Source organism: Homo sapiens, chromosome 19, assembly GCF_000001405.40.
Source record: "Homo sapiens chromosome 19, GRCh38.p14 Primary Assembly".
Classification (NCBI taxonomy): Eukaryota; Metazoa; Chordata; class Mammalia; order Primates; family Hominidae; genus Homo; species Homo sapiens.
The window spans coordinates 19,332,014-19,351,525 of record NC_000019.10 but is presented as its reverse complement, the minus strand read 5'-3'; the positions used below and the strand labels follow the sequence as shown (position 1 = coordinate 19,351,525).

The 19,512-nt window shown below is 56.4% G+C and overlaps 1 protein-coding gene across 6 annotated transcripts in view, besides 6 other annotated features; it reads right to left on the bottom strand.

Moving 5' to 3' along the window:
* The window catches only part of MAU2 (MAU2 sister chromatid cohesion factor), a 37,926-nt gene that overhangs the window by 7,229 nt on the left and 11,185 nt on the right, over positions 1-19,512 (bottom strand). For 2 of the 6 annotated variants that reach the window (NM_015329.4, XM_011527844.3), the window contains exons 2-16: positions 15,791-15,808; positions 15,339-15,404; positions 14,261-14,356; positions 12,587-12,681; positions 10,653-10,680; positions 10,119-10,274; positions 8,845-8,991; positions 8,660-8,750; positions 7,586-7,689; positions 6,600-6,677; positions 6,157-6,222; positions 4,160-4,246; positions 2,588-2,637; positions 2,294-2,371; positions 2,090-2,201 (exon numbers count right to left, since the gene is read on the bottom strand). In NM_015329.4, coding sequence (NP_056144.3) covers positions 2,090-2,201; positions 2,294-2,371; positions 2,588-2,637; positions 4,160-4,246; positions 6,157-6,222; positions 6,600-6,677; positions 7,586-7,689; positions 8,660-8,750; positions 8,845-8,991; positions 10,119-10,274; positions 10,653-10,680; positions 12,587-12,681; positions 14,261-14,356; positions 15,339-15,404; positions 15,791-15,808 — 1,272 coding nt within the window. Of the gene's footprint in view, positions 1-2,084; positions 2,202-2,293; positions 2,372-2,587; positions 2,638-4,155; positions 4,247-6,156; positions 6,223-6,599; positions 6,678-7,585; positions 7,690-8,659; positions 8,751-8,844; positions 8,992-10,118; positions 10,275-10,652; positions 10,681-12,586; positions 12,682-14,260; positions 14,357-15,338; positions 15,405-15,790; positions 15,809-19,512 lie in introns of those variants that run through there. The other 4 variants (XM_005259837.4, XM_006722711.3, XM_005259838.5 and 1 more) reach the window with 4 other exon arrangements.
* Positions 2,094-2,594: an enhancer, noted in NCBI's record as "H3K4me1 hESC enhancer chr19:19459741-19460241 (GRCh37/hg19 assembly coordinates)". NCBI's record gives its function as "activates a minimal SCP1, AML or CMV promoter by ChIP-STARR-seq in naive H9 embryonic stem cells {active_cell/tissue: H9 hESC(naive)}" and the evidence as "EXISTENCE:reporter gene assay evidence [ECO:0000049][PMID:30033119]".
* Positions 8,602-8,741: a silencer, noted in NCBI's record as "silent region_10438". NCBI's record gives its function as "represses an Ori minimal core promoter by ATAC-STARR-seq in GM12878 lymphoblastoid cells {active_cell/tissue: GM12878}" and the evidence as "EXISTENCE:reporter gene assay evidence [ECO:0000049][PMID:35858748]".
* Positions 8,782-8,871: a silencer, noted in NCBI's record as "silent region_10437". NCBI's record gives its function as "represses an Ori minimal core promoter by ATAC-STARR-seq in GM12878 lymphoblastoid cells {active_cell/tissue: GM12878}" and the evidence as "EXISTENCE:reporter gene assay evidence [ECO:0000049][PMID:35858748]".
* Positions 8,981-9,489: an enhancer, noted in NCBI's record as "H3K4me1 hESC enhancer chr19:19452846-19453354 (GRCh37/hg19 assembly coordinates)". NCBI's record gives its function as "activates a minimal SCP1, AML or CMV promoter by ChIP-STARR-seq in primed H9 embryonic stem cells {active_cell/tissue: H9 hESC(primed)}" and the evidence as "EXISTENCE:reporter gene assay evidence [ECO:0000049][PMID:30033119]".
* Positions 14,117-14,618: an enhancer, noted in NCBI's record as "H3K4me1 hESC enhancer chr19:19447717-19448218 (GRCh37/hg19 assembly coordinates)". NCBI's record gives its function as "activates a minimal SCP1, AML or CMV promoter by ChIP-STARR-seq in naive and primed H9 embryonic stem cells {active_cell/tissue: H9 hESC(naive and primed)}" and the evidence as "EXISTENCE:reporter gene assay evidence [ECO:0000049][PMID:30033119]".
* Positions 14,644-15,843: an enhancer, noted in NCBI's record as "BRD4-independent group 4 enhancer chr19:19446492-19447691 (GRCh37/hg19 assembly coordinates)". NCBI's record gives its function as "activates an origin of replication core promoter dependent on BRD2, P300/CBP, MED14 and CDK7 cofactors, and independent of BRD4, by STARR-seq in HCT116 cells {active_cell/tissue: HCT116}" and the evidence as "EXISTENCE:reporter gene assay evidence [ECO:0000049][PMID:35650434]".

Below are 19,512 nucleotides of genomic sequence, written 5' to 3'. Positions count from 1 at the left end.
TTGTTTGGTTTTTGTAGAGATGGGATCTCAGATCTACTATGTTGGTCAGGCTGATATTGAATTCCTGCGCTCAAATGATCCTTCCACCTCTGCCTCCCAAAGTGTTGGGATTACAGGCCTGAGCCACTGTGTCTGGCTGGAAAATATCTTTTTTTTTTTTTTAAGAGATAGCATCTCTAGGGCCAGGCACAGTGGGTCATGCTGTAATCTAGCACTTTGGGAGGCTGAAGTGGGTGGATCGCTTGAGCTCAGGAGTTCAAGACCAGTCTGGGTAACATGGAGACCCAGTCTCTACCAAAAATAAAAAAATTAGCTGAGCATGGTGGCACACACCTGTGGCCCCAGCTACTTGGGAGGCTGAGGTGGGAGGATCACTTGAGCCTACAGGGGGTGAAGGTTACCACGAGCTGAGCTGAGATCATGCCACTGCGCTCCAACTTGGGTGACGGAGTGAGACTCGGCCTCAAAAAATAAAATTAAATTAAAAAAAAAGAGGGTCTCACTAGGTTGCCCAGGCTGGTGGTCTTGAACTCCTGGGATCAAGGGATTCTCCCCCATCCACCTCCCAAAGGGATACAAGCAATGAGCCACTGTGCCTGGCCAAAAATATCTTTTTTTTTTTTTTTGAGATGGAGTCTTGCTGTGTTGCCCAGGCTGGAGTGCAGTGGTGGGATCTCGGCTCACTGCAAGCTCCGCCTTCCTGGTTCATGCCATTCTCCTGCCTCAGCCTCCCAAATAGCTGGGACTACAGGCGCCTGCCACCATGCCCGGCTAATTTTTTGTATTTTTAGTAGAGACGGGGTTTCACCGTGTTAGCCAGGATGGTCTCGATCTCCTGACCTTGTGATCTGCCCGCCTTGGCCTCCCAAAGTGCTGGGATTACAGGCGTGAGCCACCATGCCCGGCCTTTTTTTTTTTGAGATGGAGTCTTGCTCTCACCTAGGCTGGATGGAGTACAATGACACGACCTCGGCTTACTGCAACCTCTCTGCCTCCTGGGTTCAAGCAATTCTCCTGTCTCAGCCTCCAGAATAGCTGGGAGTACAGATGTGTGCCACCACACCTGGCTAATTTTTGTATTTTCAGTAGAGATGAGGTTTCACCATGTTGACCAGGCTGGTCTTGAACTCTTGACCTCAAGTGATCTGCCCACCTCAGCCTCCCAAAGTGCTGGGATTACAGGCATGAGCCACCGTGCCTGTCCCAAAAACATCTTTTTTTTTTTTTTCTGAGACAGAGTCTCACTCTGTTGCCCAGGCTGGAGTGCAGCGGCATGATCTCCGTTCAATGCAACCTCTGCCTCCTGGGTTCAAGTGATTCTCATGCCTCAGCCTCCCGAGTAGCTTGGATTACAGGCGTCCACCACCACGCCCCACTAATTTTTGTATTTTTAGTAAGAGACAGGGTTTCACTATGTTGGCTAGGCTGGTCTTGAACTCCTGACCTCAGGTGATCTGCCCGCCTTGGCCTCCCAAAGTGCTGGGATTACAGGCGTGAGCCATTGTGCCTGCCCAAAATATCTTCTTAAAAAAAAAAAAAAAAAAAAAAAATTCAAGACCTCGTGAGATCAGTGGGTGAGAGTAGGCGAGGAATTGACAGGAAGGACTGAGGCGGCCAGTCCCACCAGAGACTGGCTGACCTTGGGTGGGGACCAATCCCAGGGGCCACTTGTACCCTGAGAGGACACTGTGTTGGCCAAGGATGATATGTTTGGAAGTCCGGCTGAGAGGAGACACCTCTCTGCCCCTCAGGTGTCAACACATAGCATGGGGTGGCTGCGTCATCCCCAGTAGCTCAGGGCAGCTCCTTTGGTTCTGGCTTCAGCTCCCCTGAGCCCTGGGGCTCTGCCTGCCCAATGTCTGAGGCCACACCCATCAGGCCTCCTGCCTTCCCCCCACACCCTCTGTGGGTGCCCAGCTCCTCTGGCCCTGCCTGCCCAGGCTGTGGGAGTCAGGGCATCCACCTAGACGTGCTCTTCGAGGGGCATAGGATGAACAGTGCCATGCCACCCTTAGGGTGCTGGCCGGCTCCTGTCCCTCAGCCAAGCCCCACAGGCACCCAAGCGAGGGGCCCAGGCCAGGGCACTCACCCTGTGGTTTCCCAGCACATAGAAGATGTGGCCCAGAAGCACGAGGGAGCAGGCTGTGAGCCGGTTCAGGTCCTCAGCATTGGACATCTTCAGAGTTTCCCGCAGAAATCGCCTGACAAGGAGAACATGGACGCTGATAACTGCAGGACGGGGCCTGGGCTACCCTGAGCATGGCCCTCACGCCACCCTCTGCCCCACACTTACTTGGCCTCGTTGTAGCGTCCCTGGAAGAAGGAGAAGAGCCCACGCACATAGAAGGCGGCTGCTCGGAGGCAGTGCGAGCTGCAGGGAGAGTGCAGTATCACATGGGGTGGTGATTTTGAGAAGCAGGTTTACAAAACGGCAGTGGGCAGCTGGGGGCTATTTCTGAGAGCCCCCACTGCAGACTGTCTGTGAGGAGGGGTATGGGGTGTCAGGGTGCAAGGGGCAGTCAGGGGCCCCAACCAAAGAGCACGGGGAGCCTAGGCCGTGCGTGGAGTGGTGCCTGGAGCGGCTCACCTGACAGGGAAGCTGTGGTCCGGGTTGATCCTCTCCAGCAGACTGTAGAGCTGCGGGGGAAAGAGCCAGTCAGCACCATTCTGCATCTTCACAGGAGAAAGGTCCCCAAGACACACTGCAGTGCATGGGAATTTCTCTACACCCCCGTCGGGACTGTGGCCTCCAGGCTGAGCCTGGTGACTGACCAGCAAGAGCAGCCTCTGGTGAGAAGGGCCGGGGGCAAGATTTCCACACCCTCAGCCAGCCCTGCCTGTGCCACCCTGTCCTGCAGTAGGTGACAGGGGCCTGGGCGTCCAGAAGGCCTTTGTATGGTCAGAGTGGTGCTGAGGGGCTGGCCTGGCAGTGGGTAGGTTGGCAGGCTGGGGCCCGTGAGCCCTGTGGGCTGTGGGGGTGAGTGGGTGGGATTTCTCTGGAGGTGCAGGGACCCCGGGAGGCTCTGATGGGGGCGTGATCTGACTGATAATTTAGCTGCCCTCTAGCTGCAGAGGCACAGGGGAGCCAAACTCCTCCTCAACACTGCGAGCCCACGTATGGCATCGGATGACTAAGCCGGGGCTGGGCTTTCTTTTTCCTTTGAGACAGGTTCTTGCTCTGTCGCCCAGGCTGGAGTGCAGTGGCTGGATCATGGCTCACTGCAGCCCTCAATCTCCCTAGCTCAAGCAATCCTCCTGCCTCAGTCTCCCGAGTAGTTGGGACCACAGGCCTGCACCCCACCAAGTTTTTAAAAAATTTTTTTGTAGAAATGGGGGTCTCCCTATGTTGCCCAGGCTGGTCTTGAACTCCTGACCTCAAGTGATCCTCCTGCCTTGCTTCCCAAAGTGCTGGGATTACAGGTGTGAGCCAAGCACCTGGCCTGATACACTTTGGAGGTAGACCCCCAGAGGTGAAGGAGATACTAGAACTGAGGGACATCCTAGGGCTGAGGGGGATCCCAGGGCTGAGTGGGCATCCCAGGGCTGAGGAGGGAATCCCAGAGCTGAGGGGGATCCCAGGGCTGAGGAGGGGATCCCGGGGCTGAGGAGGGGATCCCGGGGCTGAGGGGGATCCCAGGGCTGAGTGGGGATCCCAGGGCTAAAAGGGACAGAAGAGGGAACCTAACTCTTATGCAAGCATTGGTTCAGAAGCGCCACGTGAGGGCAACCCTGGGCATCCCCACCCAACACTGCAGCCAGTGAGTGCCCCTGATCCTGCAGGGGCATCAGCACAACCTGGGGACAAGGTGCTCTGGCTGCTGCCCCTTAGGACTGAGCCTCAATGCCTGGCCGACATCCTAGAGCAGACAGCTTGGGCTATAAGACCTTGTCTGTGTGATTCATACAGCTTGGTTTGTTTGTGATAAAGAGAAGTGTTCTGTGGCTATGGGAATGTTTTTGTCCCAGACCTGGCCTCCCCCGGCCATAGCCCGATTCACCTCTGGGTCGCCTTGTGTGTCTGTGTCGGGTGCCGCCCATCCCTCAAAAGGTGAACACCCTGGGGTCTGCTGAGATGTGCTGGTGCCCAGGACAACCCCCTGGTTCCCCAAAAAGAAGAGAACAGAGAGAAAGGATACCGAACATGAAGCATGTCACCTACTACCTCTTGGTGTCTATTTCCTTCCCGTATATACACACTCGCCAGGTTGGTGACGATGAAGGCCCACAGCTCCTGGTGGTTGGTGAGCTGGAATGGGAGGCGGGGACATTAGGGGGCTGGGTCGGGTGCTGTGACCCATGTGGCAGTGTCAGAGCACCCACAATCTCCACGGAGACTACTTTGGAAAAGACTTGTTCTTTTCATTTCAAACACACTTGTTTTGCCTCCTAAGCTCAAGGATAACACAGCTATTACTTCTTCTCATTATAAAACCATCATCTGCGTTACGGGGCAGTTAGAGAACACAGAAGAGGAAAACCAGCCACCCCAATCCTACCCTCAGAACATGTCGGGTTTTGGTCCATTTTCCACTGTCTCTCAGGACTGAGACCTGGTGGACCCTTCCTCCAGGCCACAGCCAGCAACCTGTGGGACCCAGGTGTCCACTGCCATCAAGGCATATGCTGGTCCTAGGCGGGGGTCACTCTTCATAGGGGGAAGTGGGGAAGAGGGGAGCTGTTGTCCCACAGGGGGCCAGCACAGGCCCCGCTCCAGGTAGGTGATGCTGTGTCAGAGACCAGAAATGCTGCTGATGACAGGTGGTGGATGGGCCATGGTCCCTGGCTCTTCTTGGCAAATGAGATCGTTCGTCAAGAGAGGGTCCAATCTATGTAGCTCAAGCCCTGCTCAGACCCTGGTTCCCAGTGGGGCTGGGCAAGAGGTGGAGTGAGCCCAGGAAGCACAGACCCCACCTGCACAGATCCCCTCCTGGCACACACCCAGGAGGCCCAGAGGATCTTCCGAATCAAGCACAGATGCTCTGAGACGTAGCAAGGTGGGAGATGTTTGTTTCAGGGCCACAGGAGGCGTGTGTGTTTGGGGTTAGGGGTGTTGGGGTTGCATCCTGGCTCCATCACTCCTGGGTGGGCCATGAAAAAGAGGCTCTCTTTTGGCCTCGGGGTGAGGACTCCTTAGGGTACATGGCCTTGGGAACTTTGACGCGGAACCAAACCAGCAATAGCAACCACTTGTGGGGAGTGAGACGGAGACGGAGATGGCAGGATGGCAGGGCCACGAGGAGGGTCCTGGCCCTGCTGCAGTCAGAGTGAGCCAGGGTCCTGGGAGCGAGGTGAGGAGGCAGAGGAGTGGGTGCTGAGTCAGCCCTTCCCTCCCAAGCATGCTGTCTGCATGTCAGGGCTCCTGTGCATCTCTGAGGCCAGTGGCGGGGGTGGCAGCACCCACAGGCCTGCGGGGTGCCGTGGAATGGGAACCCTGTCCAACAGTCAGGGCGCACACAGGACTCCCTGGTGACCTTGCCCGAGTGGCAGACAGAGCAGCCTCTGCTCCCTGACACCTCTCCTCAGGGCCCTTCCTGGCACCACCAGGAAAAAGGTGTCCACAGCCTCCATTTCCTGTGAGGAGGTTGAGGCTGAGGTGGGGACACAATGGTCCAGCCCTGGGCTGGGGCGCTCCGTGAGGATGTGGCACCAGCCTTCTTCCAGGGCCTGGCGGGGCCCCCGTCTAAGGCCAGGAGCCTGGGGTGCTGCTTCACCCTCTCCGGCCCAGCAGGACCAAGAGTCCTCCTCTGTCCAAAGAGCACCTGGGAGATGGCCCAGCTCCACCACTCCCCATGGGAGCCCTGAACCCAGGATGGCTCTGAGTTGTCAGCTGACACTTGAGCCAATCCAGCCTTGGGGGTGGGTGCCGCAAAAGTTCCCACTCAGGCATGAAAGTGGTGTCCCCGGACGCGTCGCACCTCTCCCTCACGTCTGCCCTTGGGTCAGCTCAGGAAGCCCCTGGCCCCATAGCTGTCCCTTATCCAGATAAACAGCGCGTCACTGCCAAGGCTGGCATGGGCTGACTACTGTGCATTGCCTCTGGGGCTGCGGCTTTGCATAGCTGACCTAGCGCGACTGCTGTCCTCATCACAGACCACGCCCGACTCCTTACTCAGAAGTGTGGCCCGCCCCGAGCAGCAAGGAGGGCCGGCACCTTACCCGCAGGGCCGTGGTGAACTGGGCTTCCGCGTTGTCCATGCAGTTGACAGAGACACAGTACAGGCCCTGGAAGAAGGTGGTGTTGTCATCAGGGCCGGCCCCTGGGGAGGGGGCTCAGATCAGAGACACGTGGTGTGCCCGGGGCCTGCACGGCTGCCCTGGAGGAGTATGACAATGGCTCTACCGAGCCAGCTGCAAGGCAGGTAATATGCTCACTGTCCCCACCTTTCAGACCCAAGCCAATGTGGGGTGGGACAAGATGCTCACTGGGAGCATTCCGGATCGTGCCTGGGAAGGTTATATGATTACCTATGGGAACATTCCGGATTCTGATTAGGGTGCTGTCAGGGGGTCCTTCACTGGGAATGTTCTGGATCTGGTTAGGTACTTACTTACTGAGAACATTCTGGATTCTCCCGGGGTGTTGTCACAGGGTTACTCACCAGCAATGTGTGCAGCTGTGCTGCATGGTTGGAGAAGAGCCGGGGGGACTGCTGGCACAGCTGGCAGACCTGGGAGATCTGCCGGGAGAGAGTGTACTGCCATCACAGGACTGCAACCTGGGACCTGGCGTCTGAGCAGCAATGGAGAGACCCCATAGCTGGTGGGTGAGCCCATGTCCTGTCTGACCAAACTGGGGTACAAAGCCCCAGCAGACACGTCCACCATGAGGGCAAAGGGCAGCCCAGATCCCATCGTGGACAGGGACCCTTGTCTGTTACTCGTCTCTTCCACTCTGTCCAACAGGTGTCTGGGTTGTAAAGGACCTCCAGCCTACTGAGGGCCCCCATGCCCTCTCAGGAGGGTGGGTACTGGGGGTAGAGTGTTCCTAATGGCAGGGTGGGGTATAACAATCACTGTCAAAGGACCCCCCAAATCCCCAGAGACCATGTGCGCTATCCCCTTGGTGTGCAAGCTTTTGGGCCATGGCCCATTAGTTTTTTGGGTTTTTTTTTTTGAGATGGAGTCTCACTCTGTTGCCCAGGTTGGAGTGCAGTAGTGCGATCTCGGCTCACTGCAACCTCTGCCTCCTGGGTTCAGGCTATTCTCCTGCCTCAGCCTCTCAAGTAACTGGGATTACAGGTGTCTGCCACCACACCTGGCTAATTTTTATATTTTTAGTAGAGGCGGGGTTTCGCCATGTTGGCCAGGCTGGTCTCAAACTCCTGGCCTCAAGTGATCCACCCGCCTCGGCCTCCCAAACTGCTGGGATGACAGGCGTGAGCCACTGCGCCCGGCCTCCACTGGTTTTTGTATGAGATTCTCTGATCAGTGGTGCCCATGCAGGGCTGTAAAACGCTGGCCGACAGCGAGACAGCAGGATGGGCTGGCCTGCCAGTATGCACTTGGCGAATTCAGTCTCTTGTCTGACACTGCTGAGACCCAACAAACTCCTGGGCCTTCCCGCCCCTCCTGCTTCCAGCCTTACCTCCTGCAGCGCCGTGGCCTTGTGACCCGTGACAAGGCGGCACATGATGATGTGCTCCAGCAGGATCACTTGGAAGGATGACAGGATGGGGCTGCAGTCCAGCACTATGGGTGAGAGTCAGGGGTAAGCATGCAGGGGAGGCCAGAGGAGGCGCCACCCCCAGCCCACCGTGCCCCCACCTCGTTCCTGTCTCCTGCCACACTGGCTAGGCACCCACCCCGTCATCTCCCCTAGTCCCCACTGCACCCTCTGAGTGAAGGAGTGTGTCTTGCTGTCCAGGTGGGGAGACGGAGCTGGAGCCAGAGGTTGGTTCCCACAGTGCTCCAAGAAGGGTTGGCTCTCACCCTCACCCTCACCCTACGTGCTCAAGAGCTTGTGGACATGGCAGGTTCTAGAAATGTAGAAATGTGGAAACCACCCTGGATCATGACACCATGCAGCAGAGCCTCAGGCAGTCGGGTAGGGGGACCTGGGCTGGGCCCCACCTCCCAACAGCCCCAAGCAACCATCCTCATATGGGAATAAGAGAAGCACAGGGCCTATCCGGCTTTGGGCTGCCTTGGCTCTGATGCCTTCTCCCCCAGCAGCACTCACGAGGGAGCAAACAGACCGACTAATGGGCACACTATACCAGCCAGGGACGTCTGCTCTGGGTTTGTGCTAGTCAAAGGTCCCTGGATGGATTAGACACTTGAGCATCTGGAAAGAACTCACGACCTCCAAAGGACATGCTGGTGGTCAGTGAGGGCTGAGTTCTGATCCTGGCCTCATCCCGAGTGTCCCTGTCACAACACTGATAATAATTGGGAAAAGCAGCTACCACCTGTTTCAACTGAGCATGACTGGGCACAAGGGACCTGACCAGTCAGGGAGGTACCCCCGACCCCAGGCCTGTCTGCTCTGCTCTGACGTTGGACACCAGCATTTATCAACTAGGGGTGACGAGACCCACCAGGCAGGGTGGCTGGGCGCTGCGGTCACACAGGGTCACTGGGCCCTGGTACAGCTAGCGTCTGGCCAGGCCGTCCGCCAGGGGTCGCTGTGGCCATGTGGCCAGCCGAGCACCTGACTTACTCTTGAGCTTCTCCAGCTGCATGAGGGCCTTGTCCGTGTACTTCTGCGCCTTCTCCAGGTAGCCGGCCTGCATGGAGTGCATCACAGTCACCTAGCGACAAGACCAGACAGCAGGGGTTACCAGGGCCCTCTCCCTCTCCCTGCCCCCGCCCCCAGCCCTGGCCCGGGCCCTGGTGGGGACGCACCAGGTAGACAAGCACACACATGTGCTCCTTGGGCAGCCAGTGGAAGAGGTCAGCGGGGTTGCTGGGCAGGATCTCATCATCGTGCAGTGTGGAGATGGTCTGGATGCACTGCTGCAGCTGCTTCAGACACGGCTTCACGCTCTTCACCTGTGCAGCACCCACACCCGAGCATCCACCTGAGCCTGGCCTCTCAGGAAGCCAGGCCCAGCCCAGCCACCCCTGCTCCTTCCTCTAGGGAGCATCTGCCTTCCCCTTCTGCCAGGGCCACCTCCTGCAAGATGAAGCCGCCCCTGCCGCACTCCCATGAATCAGCCAGGCTTTTGGGGCATGGGGCACAGCCAGGCGGGCAGCTGTGGGACTGAGGCTTGTCCACTGCCCAGTGTTGGGTCCAACACCAAGGCCCAGGAGAGGCCTATCCAGACCCTGCTGGAGCTGCACTTGGTCTTCACGCAGCCAGACCTGAGACGGCAGGGGGAGGCTGTGCTCTGAGGGGGTGGGAGGTGGCTTCCTGGCCCAGGAATCAGGCAGGCGCTGTGGTCCATCTCGCCCTGAGGCCCCGAGGGATGTCTCTGCAGCCCTTGCACCCTGAGGGAAGCGTGGCTGCAGTCTGCTCTGTGTCCCTATGCGCCGAGTGCAGTGCTTCACCCAATGGGCAACGATGGGTATGGATGGACGAACTGGGCAACCCCCTTACCAAGCCCTGTGGAGACTCGCCTGTGGCCCACTGCGACAGGGGTGGGTCTGAGTGGCACAGGGCAGCCCCCAGCCCCCGAAGGGCTGAGACTGTCACACAAGCACAGAGACAAGGAGCTCAAACACAGCCGCTCCCCACCCACGGCAGGGTCATGAGTCCAGTCTCGGACATGGCTGAGCACATCAGTCCCTACTCAACCCCACAGCCGGGGGCCAGACAGACAGCACCTGGGCATCTGCTGTGTGCAGGTGCCATCCCAGCACCTCTGTGGTTTATTCTCATGATTCCCTGAACTGCCATTGGAATCTCTGAGCATCCATACACTGAGCGAGTGTATGCAATGTCACACATAGTACTCCCAAAGGGAGGTGGGGTGGCCAGGACAGACCCTGTTCCCAGATACCAGCACTCGTGGCAGAGCAGGACAGGAGTGTGTGTGTCCGGGACTGGTATGACAGCCCTGTTGTGTGGCAAGGTAAGGCGATGACACAGCTGACCTCACAGCCCAAGACCCATTGGCCTGGGTACCACCCATACCCACTGGTCACAACCAGCAGCTCGCCTGAGAGGCGCCACACACCTGCCCGGCATCCAGATAGTGGGTGACCTGGAGCACCAGGAAGAAGACACGCAGCGACTCCTTCTGGATGGGGTTCCCCTGCCAGTTCTCCACGATCTGCCCGCAGAGGGTCAGCAGCGGGTGCACCTCCTGCAGCTTTCGCTCCATCAGCAGCAGCTGGGGAGGGAGAGGCGCAGGTGTAGGGTACAGGGCTTGCAGGGGCCCTCCCAGGACCGGGAGCACAGGGTCACCTGCCCACCTGCCCTGGGACTGCTGCCACCAATCCAGAGGGCAAGGCCAGCCTGAAACCCCAGCCCAGGCAGCTCCTAACCAGGCTCTTGCCTCAGCATGAATCCCATAGGGTGCAGCCTGAGTTTCCCTCCTGAACCCAGCAGGGCCCGGGCCTCACATTCCAGGCTGCTCACTGTGCCTAAGGGTCTGGGCGCCTAAGGGGCCATGCCATGGAGAGTGGGTGGGGTCTGAGCAGACTCTGTGGGGGCCCTGCCTCACCTCCACAACACCAGCTGCATCCAGCCATGCCCAGCCTCAACTTACCATCCCCTTGCTGAGGAGGAACAGCGCCCTGCAAAACAAGAGGCAGGGGTCAGGTCCTAGCAGGCCCAGGAGCCTCCTGGGATGACTGTGATTACCCCAAGGCTCACAGGACCTAATATGCCACCTCAGGGGACAGTTCAGTGGACAACAGAGAACAGTCCCCTTACAAGACTGCTCTGTTTTATCCTATTGTGTCTGTGTTTATTTTTATTTTTATTTATTTATTTATTTTTTTGAGACGGAGTCTCGCTCTGTCGCCCAGGCTGGAGTGCAGTGGTGCGGTCTCAGCTCACTGCAAGCTCAGCCTCCCAGGTTCACGCCATTCTCCTGCCTCAGCCTCCTGAGTAGCTGGGACTACAGGCGCCCGCCACCACGCCCGGCTAATTTTTTGTATTTTTAGTAGAGACAGAATTTCACCGTGTTAGCCAGGATGGTCTCGATCTCCTGACCTCGTGATCCACCCGCCTCGGCCTCCCAAAGTGCTGGGATTACAGGTGTGAGCCACCGCGCCCGGCCTGTTTTTATTTTTTTTATTATTTTTTTCTTAGAGTCTCACTCTGTTGCCCAGGCTGGAGTGCAATGGTGTGATCTCGATTCACTGCAACCTATGCTTCCCGGGTTCAAGCGATTCTCCTGCCTCAGCCTCCTGAGCACCTGGGACTACAGGCACCTGGCACCATGCCTGGTTAATTTTTTTTTTTTTTTTTTTGAGATGGAGTCTCGCTCTGTCGCCCAGGCTGGAGTGCAGTGGCGCGATCTCAGCTCACTGCAACCTCCGCGTCCTGGGTTCATGCCATTCTCCCGCCTCAGCCTCCTGAGTAGCTGGGACTACAGGCGCCCGCCACCATGCCCAGCTAATTTTTTGTATTTTTAGTAGAGACGGGGTTTCACCATTCACAGGATGGTCTTGATCTCCTGACCTCGTGATCTGCCCACCTTGGCCTCCCAAAGTGCTGGGATTACAGGTGTGAGCCACTGCGCCCGGCCATGCCTGGCTAATTTTTATATTTTTAGTAGAGACGGGGTTTCACCATGTTGGCCAGGCTGGTCTCAAACTCCTGACCTCATGTGATCCACCTGCCTCGGCCTCCCAAAGTGCTGGGATTTCAGGTGTCAGCCACTGTGCCTGGCCTGTATTTATTTTTCTTACATGGCTTAGACGCACTCACGTGAAAAGCCCAGAAGGCGGTTGGGTGCAATGGCTCATGCCTATAATCCCAGCACTTTGGGAGACCAAGGTGGGCAGATCACTTGAGGTCAGAAGTTTGAGACCAGCCTAGGCAACATGGTGAGACCCTATCTCTACAAAAAAAAAACAACAAAAAAAAACGCGGCGGTGGACACACAGCGTTGGGGCCAGTGGGCAGGCTTGGGTGCCTGAACTCAGGCTCAAACCCGCGCCTCATGGTGACTAATTTTTTTTTTTTTGAGACGGAGTCTCGCTCTGTCGCCAGGCTGGAGTACAGTGGCATGATCTTGGCTCACTGCAACCTCTGCCTCCCGGGTTCAAGCTAGTCTCCTGCCTCAGCCTCCCGAGTACCTGGGATTACAGGTACCCACCACCACGCCCAGCTAATTTTTGTATTTTTAGTAGAAACAGGTTTCACCATGTTGGCCAGGGTGGGCTCAATCTCTTGACCTCGTGATCCTCCCACGTTAGCCTCTCAAAGTGCTGGGATTACAGGCGTAAGCCACTGTGCCCGGACCCAATTTTTGTATTTTTTGTGGAGATGGGGTTTCACTATGTTCCCCAGGCTGGTCTTGAACTCCTGGGCTCAAGTGATCCTCCTACCTTGGCCTTCCAAAGTGCTGGGAATATACTGTGAGCTACTGTACTTCACCTGAAATGCCATTTCTGTTATTTGTCCTGGACCAAGATGGCCAAGCCCCTCCTGTTAACAGAGCAGGAGGGAAGGAGGGGAGTGGGTGCCTACCGTGTGTATTCAGATCCCACCACCCGGGCGTACTCGGCCCCTACACCCAGGAGGTCACAGGCCGACACCAGGTCCTTCTCAAGCGTGTGCAGTTGCTAAAAAGGAAAGAGAGCAGTGACCTTTGCTGCCAAACCCATCAGTTTTACGGTACCTGCCTTCGTGCTCTGTTAGCAAACTCAACCAAACCTCCCCACGTCAGTGAAACTGCCTGTGTCAGTTTTGAGCTAAATTAACCAAATTATCTTATCAACGCTAATTGCTTTGGGTACACAGCTCCAGTTGGCCTGTAGTATATATGTCATCTAAACTGAATGGTGCCTGCAGTGGACACTATCTAAACTTAATGGAGCATAGAACCAGCAGCCAAGGCTCACGGCACAGACCCCCAAGGCTGTGTGAGCACCTAAGGCTGTTCTGAGTGCTTTGTGGGGTCTGTCTTCAGTGGGGTGTCCCTAGTGTGTTCCAGGGCCGACAAGGAGGGACTCCCTCAGAGGCAAGTGTCAAAGTCTGAACAGGCTGAAAGGGAGGCACATGCCTGGCTTGACCCTGCAAGGCAATACCTATGGGGCTGTGGTGAAGAGCTCGGCCCTTGGGTGTGCGTGCACATGGTGCCTGCCAACTCTGTGGCCCAGGGGAGGTGACTCACGGCCTGGCCTGCTCCTTTGTCTGCTAATGGGCACAAGAGTGCGTGGGGAGATGGAAGGACACAGCATGTGTATGCAGCTTCTCATCAGGCCTGGGGGAGGAGGGCCTCGGGAACTCCTGGCTGCTGGGGGAGCTCTTCCCTGTGCGTACTTTTCTCAGCCAGACCCTCCTGGGGTGAGGGACTCAGCTGGAGGAACTCCCAACCCAGGGTCCACATACTGCATAGGTGTCATGGGAGGTGGCTAAGTGGTGGCCCGGAAGGCAGGCTGGGTCATGGAAGAGAGAGGCCGGGGGCCGGCCACCCGCCTGAGGGTCCCCAGTGCAGAAGTATGGGTGGAGCCCAGGACAGGAGAGGTGCCCCACGTGGTGGAGCCTGCCGGCCCCTCCACTGCAGCCGGGAAGGCCGAGTTCAGAGTCCCCCAACAACCGAGCACTGTGGAGCTCAGAGACCAGGGCTTCACCTATATCTGGGGGGGCCAAAGGGAGCATGAGGAGGAACTGTGTGGATCCCAGGATGAGGGTGTGCCCCAGCAGCCTCCAACGTGAGGGGCCCCATGTGGGACACAATGCTTGACATGGCCATTTGTGGCCTGATAGGCAGCCCCTTGGAGTCTCAGTGTAGCTCCTAAAAAAAACCCACAGTGGGTCTCTGGCAGGAAATGTTCCTGGGATTTCAATGAGTGCAGGCCAAAGATGAGATGAGAACGGCTGGGAGGGAGGGGAACCCAAAGACACCCAACAAGCAGCAGGCCCGCTGTCAGTGTTGGCCCCGGGGAAGCCCCGCACTCCCACCACTCACCCCTGGGTGTTGCCGAGAGCCAGGCTCAAGCCAGAGATGCTCTCAAGGATGGAGGCTGAAAGGGGCTTGTGTGCAGGTTAAGGAAATGTTCCCATGTCCCCACCTACTCCATGTGCCAGCCCGAGGGGGTCTGCGCATCGTGGACTCTGCTGTTCTTTGCAAATGGGGCAGGTGTGCCCCAGGGTCATGGTCCCTGCCGGGCACCCTCGTTCCCGGGCCGCGGTACTCACAGCGAGCTGGAAGAGCAGGCGGCAGTGCCAATATGGGGTCTGCTGTGAGATCTGGATCGCCTTCCGCAGCAGCGGCTTTGCTGCATCAACGGAATTCTGAAAGGAAATAGTCACGTTTGGGAATGTAAGAAAAAAAAAAAACAAGGCGGCAATCAAGCTGGATTCCTTAGCAGCAGCTGTGGTGCCAGAAGGCAGTTCCTGTTCATGCTTACCAAAGGATTTTTTGGGGTTGCCAATTTACTTTATTAAAAGTAAAAAAAGATATTTTATTGGACTCACTGGCTGGGAAGTTTCTGCATCACTCTTAAAATAACTTCTCATTCAACTGGACTGAAAGTAGTTTCAGTTCAAAATTCTAAACACTCAAATCAGACGCCAGTTCCCTTCTTTTATGTTCTCAGACCAGAGAGAGGCATCAGGGTGTGAAGCACACACATTCCCTGCTGCCAATGCCACCTTACCCGTCATCATTCTGAGGTGGGAGGAAGGCAGATTTCGGCTACAATTGAAATTAGGAACCAGATTAAGAAGAGAAACTGTACAGACTTGTCAGGTGAGGAACAGGCTGATCTTTCCAACAGTCTTATGTAGAAAAGGAAGCTGCTGGCCCTCCTTAGCAGGTGGCTACCCACCAAAGCCCTGGGGCTGGGGCATAAGAGGCAGGAAAGTAATCTGAGTGTTAAAAGCCACCGGGCTGGGCACAGTGGTTCCTGTGTATAATTTTGGCACTTTGGGAAGTCGAGGCAGGATTGCTTGAGGCCAGCCTGGGCGAGATCATCTCTAGAACAAATAAAAAAAATTAGCCAGGCATGGTGGTGCATGCCTATAGTCCCAGCTGCTCGGGAGGCTGAGGTGGGAGGATCACTTGAGCTCAGGAGTTTAAGGCTGCGGTGAGCCATGATTGTGCCATGCACTCCAGCCTGGGCGACAGAGTGAGACCCTGTCCTCCCACCCCGACCAAAAAAACAAAAAAAGCCGGAGGGATTCCAACTCCCGGAACCCCAATTTACCAATGTGCTGTCATGTCTTAGCGACACGGAGAGACACTTTGCTTTCAGAAACCTTAATATGTTCTTACCTCTTGACAGTACAATTCAGACAACAGACTTGCTGCTTCAAATTTAACATCTTCGAACTGCGGGATCTAGTGACGTCCAGTTAAGGAAGTACAGACACTGCGAAAAAGGTCGGTTTGAAAGGGCCACAGCTTGGGGCTCCTACCCTGCCAAGGTCTGCAGGGCACACACGTCCCTGCCTGCCCTGAAATTCCAAGTTTTCCTGTTCCCCCAGTGAACCTTGAGCTTGCTGCAGGGCAGGGCTTGGAGCTGGATGCAAGGTACGAAGAGAAGCACAAAGAGGAGCACAGCGCCCAAGGGCAGCAGAGGGCCAGGTGGGGGACACTCCAGGTGCTCTGTGGGCCGAGCCTCAACTCACAGGGCATGTCGGGAGGTGGGATTCAAGCTTTGATACATTCTTTTTATTTAAGTGGAGAATTCCTTAAAGGGAACCATACCAACACGGAAAGGATACTTGCTGTGATATCAACCACTGAAAAAGAAAGAAAACAACGATTAATTCTCAGGCAAACACCTGGCACCTGGTTACTGGCTCGCTCTGGGGCTTCCACAGGTTGTCCTGAGAACAGAGGCTGCCAGGTATCCAGGTAACAAGAAGGCGGCCCGCTTGGCCTGAGAGGGTAGGCTTACTCCCCTCCAATCCAGCCAGGGGAATGGAAGCTATAGAGCCCCAGTGGGTGCCTGGGCAGGAGGGGACATGCCCTTCTGACATCAGAGGAGGGGCTCGCACTTGGAGTCAGACCCCACAGGCCCATGGGTGGGAGCTGCTTCAGAAAGGAACAGAGCTCAGAGGTGACCTGGCCACAGCAAGGCCCCCAGGTGTCACACGGAAGTAGGGCTGGCAGTCAGAGGTCAGGCAGAGAGGAAGGACGTTCAGCAAAGCATAACACGAGAAATCAGTTTCAACTGGAGAATGGGTCTTGGGGGGCAAGGTTAGTCCTTCTGAGCAAGAGGCATTTGAAAGATGCTTGGCTATAAGCAAAGTCAGTCTCTCAGAGGGGAGGGAGGGGGCTCCAGGAAGGGCTGACACAGGCAGAACTGCGGGATGGCACTGAAGATGCACACCAGGAAGGCAGTTCAGACAACAGGCTCCAACTCAGGGACCACTGTGCCCTAAAGTTCCATGTTCCAACAGTTCCCAGGCTAGTCCAGGCCACTGACCACAGCCCATCAGACCACCCAGGGTCCCAAGCACACAAGCCTAACGCTGTCCCCAGCGACTCGCATGTGCCACACACATTCAGAGCAACCTGCACCTGACAAGAGCCTCGGTGGTTGCTGGAAGGTGGATCCGGAGCACAGCAGGAGACCCTAACTCATCGCACTCTGTGGGAGGACTGCATGGGGCAGGGCAGCATGTGTGGCAAGTATGGGAAGTGAGGGGCCAGTTCTCCAGGAAAAGGGGGAGCAGGAGGTGCTCCAGGCACTGAAAAGCCCATAAAAAAGGCAGAGGGCCAGGGAGGTGAGGCTGAAGCCCGATGGTCTCTGCCACTCATGCGGCAACAGCGGCCACTCCTAGCTGAGGGTCAGAATGCCCTGGTGTCACCCCTGGAAGCTGACTCAGTCAGGGGTGGAAAATGAAAGCACCTGCCCAGATGGGAGTTTTCAGACCATCCTGGATGCAGCAGAGAGTATTCACGAAGGGAGTGCGGAGGAGCCAGTGAGGCCTGGAGATCCACGGCTGGGGGCAGCCTTGGGGCTGGAGATCTCTAGGGCAAGGGTGAGCAGCAGCTGGGAATGTCACAGGCACTGGGAAAGCACAGAGCTGCATCGAGAGCAGCTACTGCCAAGACACAGGGGGCCAGGAGGACAGCTGTGGGAGAGAGCCCGAGCCCCTGACACACATGCACCCACACGCAGGAGCCCAGACCACAGGCCCTCTGCCAGCCCAAGCGTCTGCCTCCTGTGGTCCCCTCTTGTGGCACGGACAGGAGGGGCTCGGGGTCCTCAGAGTGGCGGGGCCAGCACCTGCCGTCAGAAGTGTGGCCCCAGAGGTGAGGCTCCTCAGCTAGAGGCTGTGTGTGGGGACAGTGGCAACGTGTGTGATGCAACAGAAGAGCAGAAGTTGGGGGCTTTTTTCCACAGAAGCTGCTGCATCCCACTGAGAAGCCGGGTCTAACACAAGAAGCTCTGGAAGGCCACCAACTGGAAGGGATGCCCAATCACACAGGAGAGAGGGGACTGTGACAGAGGAGCCGTACTAGAGCTGGGCTGAGGTCTCCCTGAACCCTGAGATTTGGTGGTTCTGATTTGGGCACCATGGGGCTGGCAAGGGGGAGCTCTTCAGACACAGTCCAGGGTAGACAGCACTGCCACACACAAGCAGCAGCCCCAGCCTGGGTGAGCAAGGTGCAAACCTGGCACCTGCAGCTAAGCCTGGCACCTGTGACAAAGCTGGCCCCATTTCTGTCACTGCATCCCAGCAGAGGTAAGCAAGGCGACCAGTCAACACGTGAATTCCCCCTCCTCCCTTTGGGCGGAGAAGCTTTCCTTTCCAGTCTGTGGCCATGGGATGCTCTCCCCAGAGCTGACGACAGCCCACACGTGCATGTCTGTGGCGGGTAGACTTCAAAAGGACATGTCCAGTCACTTCATGCCTCAGAATACTACACCCCCTTCTACAAAGCTTTGGCCTATGCCACCGAGCTCAGGCCCATGTGGGTCCAACAATGTCTCCTCATAGCAACAGCTTTTCCTTTTTTTTGAGACACAGTCTCACTGTGTTGTCCAGGCTGGAGTGCAGCAGTACAATCAGAGCTCACTGCAGCCTTGACCTCCTGGGCTGAAGTGATCCTCCCACCTCAGCCTCCTGAGTAGCCGGGACTACTGGTGCGAACCACCACGTCTGGCTAATTTTTTTTATTTTTTGTAGAGATGGGGTCTGGCTACGCCGCCCAGACTGGTCTCGAGTTCCTAGGCTTGAGTGATTCTCCTGTCTTGGGCTTCAAAGGTGCTGGGATTACAGGCGTTGGACATCGTGCTTGGCCAGCAACAGCTTTGTGTCCCTTCTCCATTTGGGGCCATGATGTGGCTAACATCAATCTATTCAGCACACAGTTGGACTGGACCTCATTTCTCCTGACCCCATGGACATCTCTTCTTTTTTTTTTTTGAGATGGAGTTTCGCTCTTGTTGCCCAGGCTGGAGTGCAATGGGATAATCTCAGCTCACCGCAACCTCCGCTTCCCAGGTTCAAGTGATTCTCCTGCCTCAGCCTCCCAAGTAGCTGGGATTACAGGCATGCGCCACCATGCCTGGCTAATTTTTGTATTTTCAGTAGAGATGGGGTTTCTCTACGTTGGTCAGGCTGGTCTCAAACTCCTGACCTCAGGTGATCTGCTCGCCTTAGCCTCCCGAAGTGCTGGGATTACAGGCGTGAGCCGCAGCGGCTGGCCAAGACATCTCTTCTTTACAAGCCAGATATGCCTGCTGCTAACGGGCTCGCCTCTCTGCCAGCTCCGTCCGTCCACGGGTGGGCTAGACAGAGAGGATCCCATCTCCCCTGAGGAAGGGGAGGCTCTCAGTGAGCACTGGTGAGCTGGGAAGTAATGTGCCCAAAGGCTCCAAATACAAGCATTCTCTTGTGGAAGGCGTCCACTAGCGTCAGTGGGTGTCAGGAGCGCTGACTGGGAGCCAGAGGATTGGGTTCAAGGTGTGGATCCACTGTGAGTTAGCGATGCTCTAAGGCACTGGAGAAATTACATCCTAGCGCTTTTTAACATCCGTTTCCCATGTAGCTTTATCGCCCACTTCAAATACATACAAACAGAGGACATTAGATAAAGCCCCTCTTTTTGTGACCGGCCTGGGCAACACAGCGAGACCCTGTCTCTCGCTCTAAAAAAAAAAAAAAAAAAAAAAAATCAGCCAGGCATGGTGGTGCATGCTGTAATGCCAGTTACTTGGGAGGCTGACGTGGGAGGATCACTTGAGCCCAGGAGTTTGGGGCTGCAGTGAGCTATGATTGTGCTGTTGCACTCCAGCCTGGGCAACAGGGCAAGACCCTGACTCTTACAAAAAAAAGCCCCATGATGTTTGACTTTAAAGTTGTGGCTGCAATGCCTGCAGCAAGCTGACATCCAGTAGGTGCTCGGGAAACATCTGCTGATCGAACGATGGCTTTATCCACTTGGATAATGAGTAGAGTTCATTAGAGGAAAGTGAGGGCTTCTGTGT